General features: G+C 40.1%; 1 protein-coding gene and 1 pseudogene across 5 annotated transcripts in view; one reads left to right on the forward strand and one right to left on the reverse strand.

Annotated features, from left to right (window-relative positions):
- The window catches only part of ADAM12 (ADAM metallopeptidase domain 12), a 376,087-nt gene that overhangs the window by 260,326 nt on the left and 101,666 nt on the right, over positions 1 to 14,095 (reverse strand). For all 5 annotated transcript variants that reach the window (NM_001288973.2, NM_003474.6, NM_001288975.2 and 2 more), the window contains exon 3: positions 6,199 to 6,272. In NM_001288973.2, coding sequence (NP_001275902.1) covers positions 6,199 to 6,272 — 74 coding nt within the window. The remainder of the gene's footprint in view (positions 1 to 6,198; positions 6,273 to 14,095) is intronic.
- SAR1AP2 (secretion associated Ras related GTPase 1A pseudogene 2) lies at positions 12 to 606 on the forward strand (annotated as a pseudogene).

Raw genomic sequence — 14,095 nt, forward strand, 5'->3', positions numbered from 1 at the left:
TCACTGTTGGTCCGGGTGCTGCTGGTCTGTGTGCTCTGAGGGAGGGTCCAGGCCATGTGCTGCCTCCAGGGGAGCCCCTCAGGCTATGGTCAGCATTAATAATGTCTTTCATCTGTGAGTGGATCTACAATGGCTTCTACAGTGTGCTCCAGTTTCTAGGACTCTACAAGAAATCTAGAAAACTTGTTCTCTTGGGTTGGGACAATGTGGATGAAACCATTCTTCCTCATATGCTCAAAGATGGTGGATTGGGCCAACAGGCTCCAACACGACCTCTGCCATCAGCAGAGCTGACAACTGCTAGCCTGGCTTTTACGACTTTTGATCTTCTGGGGCATAAGCAAACACGTTGGTTTTGGAACAGTGATCTCCCAGCAACAAATGGGATTGCCTTTCTGGGTTACTGTGCAGATTGTCCTCAGATCCTGGAATCCAAAGAGGAGCTCAATGCTTTAATGACTGATGAAAGAATATCCCATGTGCCAGTCCTTATCTTGATTAGCAAACATTGGACAGAACAGGCACAATCAGTGAAGAAAAACTCTGTCTGCCATTTGGTCTTTATGGACAGACCACAGGAAAGGGAACTTGTGACCCTGAAGGAGCCAAATGCCTTTTCCAAGGAATCGTTCACGTTCAGTGTGTACAACAACAGGGCTATGGCAAGGGCTTCTGCTGGTTTGCCCAGTATATTGACTGATGGTTGGGCAGTGAAAATAAAAGTTTAACTTCTTAAAAAAAAAAGATGGTGGGTGGGGAGGGGGTAAACAGTCTAGGCTTCTTCTGCAAGAGAAGAAGTAAAAGGGAATAGCACTCTACACTCAAAGATTTTAAAAGTCCAATCCCTGGGCATGTCAAGATTGTAAAGGTAAGAACCCTACAGCAGCTGGATCCCGAAGGACCAGCCTGGCGTGTCTGTTCCAGGTCTTGTGAGCATTGAGATGTTTGGCCATCACCAAGAATTAGAGGTAAAGAGTAGGCATAACCTGATTTCCATTAATTTAGAAACGCTGAAACAGAACATAATATAATTCGGTAAAATAATTAAGATTGCTGGATCCACAGAGAAATGTTATTGAGTCATTCAAACCTGATCATCAAAATTAACATGAGCTATAATCTTCCTGCATTGACTGGACACAGATGCTTATTCCATTTTGCAGACAAGGAGGCCAAGGTGGGCAGATCGCTGGAGGCCATGAAGGAAGTGGAGAGAATATCAGTAACTTGCTGTTGGGAGCAATGCTGCTTTCAAAGCCTGGGCTCCTAACTCCAAATCCTGTGTTCCTTTCTGGAAGGTTTTCTCCTTGAATTGTTTCTCACCCCACCCAAGTGACCTTCGACCTCCTGGGAACTCACTTCTGGCTTGGTCCAGGTTGTCCAGACTCCATCATCCACTCATTTGAGGAGTGCTCATCGATGCCTATGATGAGCCACGCTGTCCTACCCCTGACCGTAAGGATGTCATGGTTGGCGGAAGAGGAAAGGAAAGAAGCATCCAATGGTGGAAATGAGAATGAAGTGGCAGGTGGCTCTCTGATGTCAGGCTTGCAACGGCGAAGGATGCAGGGTTTTGGCTGTGCCCCACCCTGTGTAGCAGAAGAATGACCTCCCCTGCCTAGGACCCACCACATATACCCCCACACGCTCAGGTGGCAGTCACCTTTTTAGCAGCCACATTGCCTCAGGGGCTTGAGTATGCAGGTCTCATTCACAAGAACTACTAACAAATTTCCTTCTGAACTTGCAACATTTATTTTTTTGTTAACCCAAGCACAGGATTTTACATTTATCCCCATTAAATCTCACCTTGTTAGTTTTGGCCCATTGATCCGAACTGCTGAAATCTTCATAATCCAGATTTTGCCGTGCCAAGCACAATTATTCCCCCTAGCTCTGCATTGCCAGGAAATGTGATGAGAGCACTTTTTATATCTTCATCGAGATGGTCCATGAAACTGTGGGCCAGGACAAGGCCATGCACACAGCCCTAAGGCCACCGGCAGCAACCTCAGTCGCCCTCTTCAACATGGGTTGGGTCAAGGGGAACAATGGCTTGATATCCTCTGGATGGTGATTCAGCCAACTAAACCATCTAATGCCATCTCCACACTGGTTACATTTCTCCATTCTGTACCATGATATTCTGAGAGATGATCTAAGATAAATGCCTTTCCAAATATTTATACCCATGTTTAGCCATTTTAAAATGCCCTTTCTGTTATTGTTCTAGAGTGAATACTAATTAAAGTTGCCCTGTAAGAGATGTCTGGAATCGTTCTAGGCAAAATAAGTCAGTGCTGAAGTTATTCTATCCCAGAGATACCCCAAACATAAATTCAATGGGCTATGGACTTCCCATGGCAAGTGCCTTCAATCAGTGATGGGAACAGAACTTGAAGGCATGCTGGGATTGAGAGATGTAAGGAACGTGATCTACTGCCATCACTCTTCATTATCCTAAACTGGAAAAGCTGATGCCAAAGCTGGCCAGCCTGTCCAATAAAACATTTTGATCAAAGATACAATTTCACAGAATACCTATGTAAGGGATGGCCTGAGAGTCCACAGGGATCTAGTAGAAGTATGAAAGTTATCAACCTGGTTTCTACAGGTCCATAGGCAGACAGCAATATTGTGCAAAATGCTTCTCAGGGGCTATACAAATACAGATTTTAAGTGAACAGCATCCAATCTTTTCATAAATTAGGGATGTTAGAAGGTAAATAAAAGAGATTCCCTGAAAAACTATTTAATAAAAATTCAGCCCTGTGCCATGAAGAATCGGTTCACCACAGAAGCATTTTGAGTAGGATTAATTAGATGACTCTCAGCATTAGCTATAGACTTAAGAGACTGGGACCGCTTTAATTTAGGTTGTGGTTTCTAAGCAGGTTTTTCAATTACAGTAAACTTCTGGATATTTAAAGACCCAATATTCAATGAGTAGATATTTTTTGCTCTTTAAAAGTCACCAGAGGCCTTCCAGAGGCCTCTCAAAATAACTTTTATCATTTTCTTTTTAGGAATAATAAATACGTTAGCAATCTTCTTTTCAACCATTATCAAGTTTTTACAATAGTTTTTTTCCTTCAAAAGAAAATGTTTTTTCCTAATTTTAAAAGTAATATTTTATTTTTGCGAAACATTAATACAATAAAGAAAGTAAATATCCTCTATAATCTTCCTACTCAGAGATACATGTCATGTGTATAATTTTAAAATAAAAATTGAATACTATGTAAACTATTTTCATTTTTTAGAAAACAAACACTAGCAGGAAACAACTATTTTCTAACATGCTAGTTACATTGATTATACCATGAATTTTTTATAATAAAAGTCTCATCATTTTAAATTGTTGTATGGTATCCTGTTTCATAGCTGATTATTGAATCAGTCTCCTATTGATGTACTTTTAGGTAAAACATCTTTAAGCACAGGGCTGACTCTGGGGCTGAAGGTGTTGGAGCGGTATACTAACCAGCTTGCCTTCTGATTGGTCAGCTGTTCATCCTGATTGATCAGGCCCTTTATTGTACTCATTGTTAAACATGTAAATGGTCTCTGCTTATATTTTTATCTCTGGGTTCTTATAGTTTCACTTGTAAAAACTCTCGGACTTGACTCTATTGGGCCAATGGCTATGCAAATTTAAAATTCTATTATATACTAAATGATTGATTGCCTTTGGTGTCTAACAGCATTACATGCTAGTAGTGCACAAGCATTTCACTCTACTTGATTTTTTTTGTTTTTAGTATTCATTGCGTCAAAGGTATAGTTAATTTGGAATAGGTATGTAACCTTTTGCAAAAAAATTGTTATACTGAAGTATTTTTGGTAATGCATCATTAAAATAGTAATATTGGCATCCTCTTATTATGAAAATGTTACTTTTCATATAATGGAATTTCTAAAATTGGTACAAGTAATACAATTAAAATTATAGCATATCATAGGAACATATGAAACATTTTCTATGTATTTTTGAAAATGCAGTCTGACAGTGAGGTTGCAAAGAGAGAAATAAATTAAAAAGATAGTTTTGTTTTCAACTTTTATAATTTTGAGATTATCTCATGAAAGACTCAGAATTGAAAGGGAACAAATTAAGTCACCTTTTAAAACGATATTTATACAAATTAGCTACTCTCTAGCAGTCAACGTGTATTATAGTATCTGCAGTAATGGAAGGTACATCATTTTCAGGGGGAACCATGGACAAGGCTATTAAGTCACATTACAAACTCAGACAACCAGACGGGCTCTAAGAAATTATTTATCTATGGAAATGTGTGTCCATTATGAAGCTAAATGAAGTAGCAGGGTATAAAATTGCATACAGACTGTGATATCAACTAAGAAGACAAAAGAAACAAAGGCTTATTTATAAGAAAAAAAATCCATCTATATAATTCACCAGAATCTTAAACAGGATTGTGTTTGGTGGTAAAAGTACTTTTTAAAAAATGTTAGGGTTATTTGTTCCCTTCCCCCCTATAATGTTCAGTTTTCTTCACTGGGTATGTATATTGTTTTCATAGTAAAAACAACTTAAGGTTTTTATGAGGTCGATTTTTGCTTCTCTACCTGCAGTCGTAATGCTCCATAAAACATTCAGGATTAGCCTCCCCTCATGCTGTGCACCACGTTTCTTCCAACAGCCTAACAATGGGAGCAGGTGCAATAAAGAACACTCCTAAATCCAGCTGCCCACCACAACAACCCCATCGAGAAAATGCATCACCACCAGCAGCCTTAGATGCTTTTGATCTTTCAGGGAATGCCTAGCTTCTTCCATTGAGATATTTTCAAAACCATACCTAAAAATGTACAAAAATGTGTGCCCCTCGATATTCTTATGTAAAGAAATAGAGTATGAAAATATGTACTTTGCTAAGGGAGACGGATCAAAAGCAATATACAGTTTTCTCTTCAGATTCCTGATTATATAATACATGTGTCTGAATCTCTATTTTAAGAGCAAGTCACAAGAAAAGCTAAAAACACCTCATTTCTTGTTTCCAAAGCTTCTGATCTATTTAATGGTGAGCAGTAAGAATGTAAGAAAAAAAACACAAAAGAGGCAGGTTGCAGATCCCAGGGAGCAGGTAGTGTGATTTTTGTATACATTTTTATATATTGCAGCATTAGATACCGAACTTTCGGGCTGGCTGTTGATTGACTGTCTTTCGTCTGTCTTGCTTAAAATGCTCAAATCAAAGCACCAACACAAGTAAATGATCTGAGTTGTTTACAGGGAGATGTTGAGTCAGGTTCTGGGACTCCACATCCCTGACAGAACTCATCCCAGTGAGGGCCTGCGACCTCTACTCTTGTTTCAGAAAAAATCACCATCCTGCTGATGGGTGAGGAACAGGAACCAGTACTTTTGGAAGAGAGAAACTGCTATTTTGACCAAGCAGGACTTGGAAAATTGAGTTCTATCTTTACATACAGATTGCTTATTAGAAGAACTAATAAGCTCTTCTTTTATGGTACTAATGAAATAGAATATTAAGGAGTCCTTTAGATCTGAGGAATCTGTGGGGATAGCCAGGGTGCAAAGAATAAGAAAACGAGTTGTTTGTCTTACGGTTGGAGGCAGACAAAGTTTTCTGCTAGTAAGGCACACAAAATGTATAATAGTATCCAAGCGGCCCAGAAAAAGCCATAATGCCATTTTCTGGAAATTTATATAATTTTTCCACAAAAGGACCAATTTTTAAAAATAAGAAGATGACAGAAATAGTCCAAATCACTGGAGATAAGCTTTGAAAGATAAAATAAACTCTTGGTATTTCTCAGGGAGAAGATAATTTCTATCAGTTTGAAGCTGTTTCCCCTAATATAATCCAGGAGTTGTCAAAAGTCAACTAATTATGAAACTCTGTTATTTGAACAGTACAGGGATGCTTAAATCAAATCTTTGAACAACCAGGCACTGAAAAAATAAAACATCAGAACTATGAAAAAATAGTGTTGAGTTATAAAGTTCCTTAATAGAGTGATAAAATTCTTTATTTTTCCATTAGATAATTTTTTAAAGTTAATTCTCACCTCAAATCCAAATTTGGATTACAAATCCATGCATTTCGTTCTTTGTTTCTAAACCCCAACATAAATCACAGAGCACTTTTCTGTCCATGGTGTCTTAACTTTCTCCTATCATGCAATAAACAAGAATTAACTTACTCATTTCTTTCCAGATTTATGATCAGTTCTTTGCTTTCCCGTTGTAGTCGAATATTCAGCACTTCTGGATGATTCTGAAAGATAAACAACAAAAGTCAGTTGAAAAACGCTTGGCTTTGATTTGCAAATAGCTGAATAAGACCCACAGGCGTAGTCAAATGAGGGAATAAACGATGCGGTCAACCTAAGAAAGAGCCAAATGCCATCACAATGCAGTGTATAAATGAAGGTTTCTTAGCAGCTTAAAAAGAGCAGTGAAGGCCAGGCACCAGAGGATTGCTTGAGTCCAGGAGTTTGAGACCAGCCTAGGTGGGCAACACAGTGAGACCCTATCTCTACAAAAAGTAAAAATAAAAAAAATCAGAATATTAGCCAGGGGTGGTAGTTTGTGCCTGTGGTCCTAGCTACTTGGGTGGCTGAGGCGAGAGATCACTTGAGCCTAGGAGTTCGAGGCTGCAGTGAGCTATGGTCACGCCACTGCACTCCAGCCTGGGTGGCAGAGTGAGACTCTGTCTCAAAAAAAAAAGAAAACAAGCCTGTAATCCCAGCACTTTGGGAGGCCGAGGGGTGGGGGTGGGGTGGGGGTGGATCACCTGAGGTCAGAAGTTCAAGACCAGCCTGGCCAATATGGTGAAACCCCATCTCTATTAAAAATACAAAAAATTAGCCTGGTGTGGTGGCACACCCCTGTAATCCCAGCTACTCAGGAGGCTGAAGCAGGAGAATCGCTTGAACCCGGGAGGCCGAGGTTGTAGTGAGCCAAGATTGCACCATTGCACTCCAGCCTGGGCAACAAGAGCGAAACTTCGTCTCAAAAAAACAAAAAAAGAAGAAGAAGACAAGAGTGGAGGGAGAGTTGGGTCATCCCACAGAACAGGCACCACAAACTCAAGGAGACCTCATTCTTCCTGGTCAGCATTGCATGAGTGCAGAAAGTGGAGACTCAGTCTTGCTGAGACATGATCACCACCACACTCAATTAGTGCTTCCTTCAGTTACGCTGACTTCGTCTGCCTTTGCTTTGTCAGTTATTTCGGTACTAGGCTTGTATGAACGCATGAGAATGAGAAGTTTATACATACTTTTCTAATATTTCATATTTGAAAGTCAGTCTTATAACTCCAGAGCTCGAAAGATCTTTTCACAATATATATAATGTTTCAGCTATACCATGACTTAACTAACCACATGCCACTACACTTTAAGATGAAATGGATTGTGGGTTCCAAATGTCCAACATGAAAATAATTAGTTAAAGTAAAACAGAATTTAAAGAAAACCCATAACAACTGAAGGTCACATGAGTTTTGGGAAAAAAAAATGAGTTAAGGCAAAACATGACTTAACTAAGGCCATATAACTGGGGTAGAGTCACAAAGGCTGAAACATTATTTGCTTTATTTTTAGGGCAGCCCTTTGCATATCTTCTTCTAGTCTTTCTGTGTCTCTCATGGTAGCCATTAGCCGCATATGGCTATTTAAGTTAATTAAAACGAAATGAAATTTAAAAATTAGTTCACCAGTCATACTGGACACATTGCCAGACTCAATAACTTGGTGTGACAGGTGGCTACCACTGTGGGACAGCACAGATATAGAGCATTTCTATCATCATGGAATGTTCTATTGGACAGCTCTGAGTCAGTGATAAAGACCTAAAACTTACATCATCCAATTGCCACCTGAGAATTAGATTATTTTAAATATCAGGGCCTTCAGGAGGTAAAATTAGGTACAAACTCAAGGGTTTTTTCCTTATGAGCTTCAAGGAGGTTCTTTCTCAGTTTTCACTGATGGATGATATTACTTTAAATAGTTATTTAAACTTGAGAGTTAAATTGGTGAATTTCCAGATATATGAAATTCTTACGTATCTTTTCTGGGTTTACACAGGCCTTGTTTTTGATGGATTTACTCTAGCAAAAGAGTACAAAAACATACCAAATTTATATATTTTGATACTGTCTGGTGTTTATAAGAACTGTGTGCATTTCTGAGTGTTACTCGACTTTGAAAATTAATCTATTGGATCCTACATGCCAAGAAACATGCACCATTTCTTTGTAGTGTAGTGTGTCAAAGTGTTCTTATGCCCTTACAGGTATTTGCTTTCGAGTCCATCACAGGGACTCCTGCATATTTGCCTATACTTGCTGACACCCGGGTTGAACTACAAACACTTCCATAATGTTCTCTTCAGGGTTTGTAATATGTACCCATTAATTATATGTGTGAAGAACAAGATTATTAATTATATTTACAATAAAATATTAGAACAAAATATGTCTCAATATTCTGTCAAAATGTGCCCAAACACACCATATGTATGTATACATGTGTGTATAACTACATGTTTCATATGTATGTATATATAAGTAACTTAGTTACTTTAGTTACAAATAGTGTTTGCCTAAGATATCAATGCACAGATCACATACCTTAAATGGAAATCCTGACAATTCTATATGTGAATAAAAATATATTATTTGCAATATCCCTTTTCCCCCAAAGAATTGAGGTAGTTTAAGCATTAACATTTGTAGTAATTCCACATAAAGTACTAGAAGTGTTAGGAGAGTCCAATGTCAACATCTTGCAGAAGAACATATTTTCCTTCAGGGAAGATCTTTATGTACATTAGTTGAGGTATGACTAGTAAAGGAGAAACCAATAGAGAGGGAGAACAGACAGCTACTTTAATTGAAGACCACTAATTGCCTTAGACTTCTTAAAAGCATGTATTCATTCCATTTTCTTTTGATTGTTACCCATTGGAGATGATGAAGTAGTACCGGTAAAATACGGCATTCCTTTTCTTAAAAATGATATATTGATTACCCTAATGGAACTGTGTCTTTTATTGAATGCTTAAAGAACTGTACCTGCTGAATAAATCAATTAACTGCTAATCAATGGGCCAGAAATGTTTTGGCAGTAATTGCTGCTCTATTATTTTAATTGGGAAAGTACATCCAAGAGTATATAAAATGTATAAGTACAATTTGAAAAACAACGATTAAAATAAACACCAGGGCACCTACTACCCAGCTGAAAAAGCAGACTATTTCTATAATCTTAGAAGCCCCCGTATTAGTTTGGTGGGGCTGTCATAACACACACCAGAGACTGTGTGGCTTAAACAACAGAAATTTATCTTATAGCTTTGGAGCTAGATGTCCAAGATGAAGGCATTGGCAGGTTTGGTTTCTTCTGAGGCCGCTTTCCTTGGCTTTGAGACAGTTGCCTTCTTACTGTGTCCACAGATGGCCTTTTGTATGTCTGTGTCCTGATCTCTTCTTATAAGGACACCAGCCATATAAGATTAGGGGCCACACATATGACCTCATTTCACCTTAATTGCCTTTTTAAAGGGCCTTTCTCCAAATACAGTCACATTCTAAGGTACCGGGGTTAGGATGTCAATACAGGAATTTGCTGGGGGGAAGGGAGAGGAAATTCATCTCATACACTTTCTCATGCTAAATTCATTATTACATTTCCCTTATTCCCAACCAGTGGTAACCATTATGCTGAAGTTTCTATTAATCATTATCTTGATTTCCTCTACAGTTTTGTTTCTAGTGTACATATTCCTAAGCAATACACTGTTTAGTTTTACCCTGTTTTGAACCTTACAAAAATGGCCTCATACTTTGTCCATTCTTCTATGACTGGTTTCTTTTACTTAATCTTATATTTGTTAGATTTATACATATGGTTGTATACAGCTGTAGTCCATCTATTTTCATTGCTATGTAGTATTCTATTGCACAAACAATGTGTAAGTCCTTTCTCCTACAGGTGGACTTTGGCATTCTTTCTCTCCAACCCTTTTTGCTCTTAAAATGCTGTTATGCATGTTCCTGTGTACATGTCTCCTACTACAGCAGTCCCCAACATTTTTGCCACCAGTGGCCGGTTTTGTGGAAGACAATTTTTCCATGGAACTGGGGCTGGGGGTGGGGGATGGTTTCGGGATGATTCAAGCACATTATTATTACTTACTGTGTACTTTATTTCTATCGTCATTACATTGTAATACATAATGAAATACAACTCACCATAATGTAGCATCAGTGGGAGCCCTGAGATTATTTTTCTGCAACTAGATGGTCCCATATGGGGGTGATGGAAGACAGTGACAGATCATCAGGCGTTAGATTCTCATAAGGAGCCCACAACCTAGATCCCTCACGTGCACAGTTCACAATAGGGTTTGTGCTCCTATGAGAACCCAGTGCCTCCGCTAATCTGACGGGAGGCGGAACTCAGGCAGTGATGTGAGTGGTGGGGAGCTGCTCTAAATACAGATGTAGCTTCTCAGCCTGCAGCTCACCTCGCCTGCTGCCGTGTGACCTGGTTCCTAGGCTACAGGGGTTGGGGACCCCTGCCTTGCTGGACAGATATGAGTTTCCCTGGCTAATCTGGGATGGAAACTCTGGGTGGTGTAGTTTGCACATGTTTGACTCTACCAGGGATCTTTAAATTGTTTTCCAAAGTACAAATGGGTTATAAATGTTTCTCTCATTCCATAGTCTCATGAATATCTGGCAAAAATTTAAAAAGGCGGGCAGCCCCAATCTGCTGACTGTGCAACTGCGGCTCACTGGGGTTTTCCTTTACGCCTCCCTCCTCAGTAGCAAGACAGAGCACCTTTGCTTATGTTTATGGAACATTTGATTTTCTTCTCCTGTGAAATACTTGCTCATGTTTTCTGACCATTTCCTTTCCTGCTTTCTTCCTCCTCCCTTTCTCTTGTCATTGTGAATTTGTAGTTATTTCTACATTCTGGAAGCTATGCTTTTCTCTGTTTAATGTGTGACAAATATCTTCTCCCAGTTTGGGCTTTGGCTTTTCATCCTCTTAAGTGTGTTCTCATGAACAGAATGCCTTAATTTTAATAAAATCCTTCATGGTTTAAAGTCTTTGTGCCTTATTTGAGAAATCCTTCCCTACTCCAAGATCAAAAAGCAGACTGTGTTATCTTCTAAATGTTTCATAATTTTGCCTTTCACATTTAAGTCCCATCCAGACTTGATTTTTGTGTCCAGTACCAAGTAGGAGTCCAACTCTACTTTAGAGAAAATGTGATTAACCAATTGTTCCAGCACCATTTGTTAAAAGTCTATCCTTCCTGGCTGGGCACAGTGTCTCATTCCTGTAATCCCAGCACTTTGGGAGGCCAATGTGGGTGGATCATCTGAGGTCAGGCCTTTGAGACCAGCCTGGCCAATATGGTGAAACCCCGTCTCTACTAAAAATACAAAAATTAGCTGGGTATGGTGCTGTGCTCCTGTAATCCTAGCTACTCGGGAGGCTGAGGCAGGAGAATCACTTGAACCCGGGAGGCAGAGGTTGCAGTGAGCTGAGATCACGTCACTGCACTCCAGCCTGGATGACAGAGCAAGACTCCATCTCAAAAAAAAAAAAAAAAAAAAAAAAAAGACCTATCCTTCCACCGTATCTGTAGCAGCCATGTGGAGATCTGTTTCTGAGCTAATACCATGTGTCTCATTGTCTGTCCATGCACTAATGCCACCCTGTGTTAATTACTACAGCTTTACTCTGAGTCCTGATGTTTGGTGAGTCTTCTCACCTCTACTATCTCAGCACCCTGGGATTGCTCCACTGTCTTCTGTTTCTATTTCTTTTTTATAAAAATGAGGTCTCAATATGTTACCCAGGCTGGTCTCAAACTCCTATCCTCAAGCAATCCTCCTGCCTCAGCCTCTCAAGTAGCTGGGACTACAGGCTCGAGCGATCACGGATGACTTGGTTTCCATTCTTGTTGCTGAGAAGTCAGTCCTCAGCCTCCTTGGGCAGGTGACCCATCTCTTCTCTGCAGCTGCTTTTGTGATCTTTTTTCTTCCATGTTTGGCAGTGTGGCCATTGTATGTCTGGGTGTGAATTTTGTTTTATTTGTTCACTTTGATTTGTCCTCCTTGGAGAAAGGATGCTCCCTTACTCTCTTCACTGGGGCTGTTTTATTTCTTATTCACCCATACACACTTGTCTGTCTTTTGCAGCGTTCAGGGCTCAATGGCAGGTTGGAAAAGGTAGGTAGGGTTAAGGGTGTGACCCAAGATTGGAGACTGTGCAGGCCAAGAGTGGCCGAAGGCCAGGGGAGAATACAGGCTGGAGGTGAGGGAGCCAGCAGGTAAGAGGAGCCGGTAGGTGCTGGCCAAAAAAGGGCTACAGACTGAGAGACTGGACAGAGGTCTGTGGAATGGACATTCTAGAGAGGAAAGGACCACTTCCTATGGGATGCTGGGTAGGAGAGAAGGAAAGGGTTCTGCTGCAAGAGAAGCATTATAATTTGGAGGCAAGCTCTCCTCAACAAAGGTGACAAAAAAAGTCATGGCAAAGTTCAACAGCTTCCTGTTTCCTCCAAAGTCATAAGAAAATATCTTTTTAAGTTTGAAAGTTCAAGTGAATCGATATATTTTTATCTACTACACTGCCTCTTAGGCCATAAGGCACTGACATTTATTGATATCCCTATTTACCTGTATGCATGCAGGCATGTGCATGAACACTTGCTTTTGTGTGTAAGTGTATTATGGGACCTGGGCTGATGTCCCAGTTTATTATAGAATTTTTCATGAAATAGCTCTTGCTATTTGTACTTATACTTCACTCTCAGTTCCATCTAGGAGTCAGATCTAAGTTCCCTCTTTAGGGCATGTAGGCTTGGAGATAAACCCCAAGACTGATACTGCATTTACTCCAAATCCCTCTTTCCTCCTAGGAGGGAAGCTTTGTCGTTGGGCAAAACTCATCAGACACTCTATCCTCAGTGCACATGTGCTCACAGGAGGCAAGTGCCTTCCTCACAGAAAGGCTTTTTTGGCAGACTCCCCTTGAGATGGCAAGCCCAGGCAAATCTGCAAAGACGGGTGCGGCCAGGACCCAGCTGCCCACCTCTAGGGCCCCCAGGTGCCTGTGTTCTCTCAGAGGTTTCCCACAATGCACTTGGCTAGGGCATCCCAGTGAACTGGCTGTACAAACAGATGTGCAAAAAGTGATGATTGATTGATTGGCTGATTAGATTGATTTCCCTATTTTTTTTTTTTTTTTTTTGGTGCTATCCATGTCGTGCTACCCTTCTTTAATGTGTGCGATTGGAGGCTGATCCAAACTTGACTTTAAATCATTTCACCCATAATGAACACAAAATACCTCGAGTCCATAAATGTAGCTTTGCATGGTTGTAGGGTGCTCATTATTTTCCCTGAAGGACGGGATGACACACAGCATCAGGTCCTTGGTGTTTTTCTCTCTTTAGAGAACAAGAAATTTTCAACAGCTTAGAAACATCTGCCCTGATTCTGAGGGTGAATTAATGTGGCAGTGGAACGGCAGCAGGTCTGGCAGGCAGGAGGGAATTACCATCCAAAAAGTAAGATTTGGGGTCAACAGCCAAGTCCACTCCCATCACAACTCTGAGATTATCCTTCCAAAGACCATGGTCAGCCAGAGCCAAAGTCATTCATCTCAACCATCAATACTGGAAGCTCAGAGGGATCTAATTTTTCAAGAAGAACAACAAAATTAAAATATTGCATTCAAGGGAACTCTAAAATAACTAGATCCCTCTCCGGCACTAAATAAATGCTTCAGGCTGCAGCCTTGGCATTCACGGGGCACGAGGGAGTCATTTATTGCTATGAATATTTAGAGGCAATCTTGATTACCACTTTAATATCAGTGTGCTACTTCCACAGCCTGGAAGATATGCGCACTGTGGAATTTAGAGAGGACAAAATTGAATTAACTGCAGTATAACACAGTCAGGAATTAAGGCACGGCAGCATTATAATGGGGTGTCCCTGGATTGGGGCCTGTTTGTTATTACATAAATAATGATAATGTTTATTCTTGAGTTACTGACAATTTT

This window comes from Homo sapiens, chromosome 10, assembly GCF_000001405.40.
Source record: "Homo sapiens chromosome 10, GRCh38.p14 Primary Assembly".
Taxonomy (NCBI): domain Eukaryota; kingdom Metazoa; phylum Chordata; class Mammalia; order Primates; family Hominidae; genus Homo; species Homo sapiens.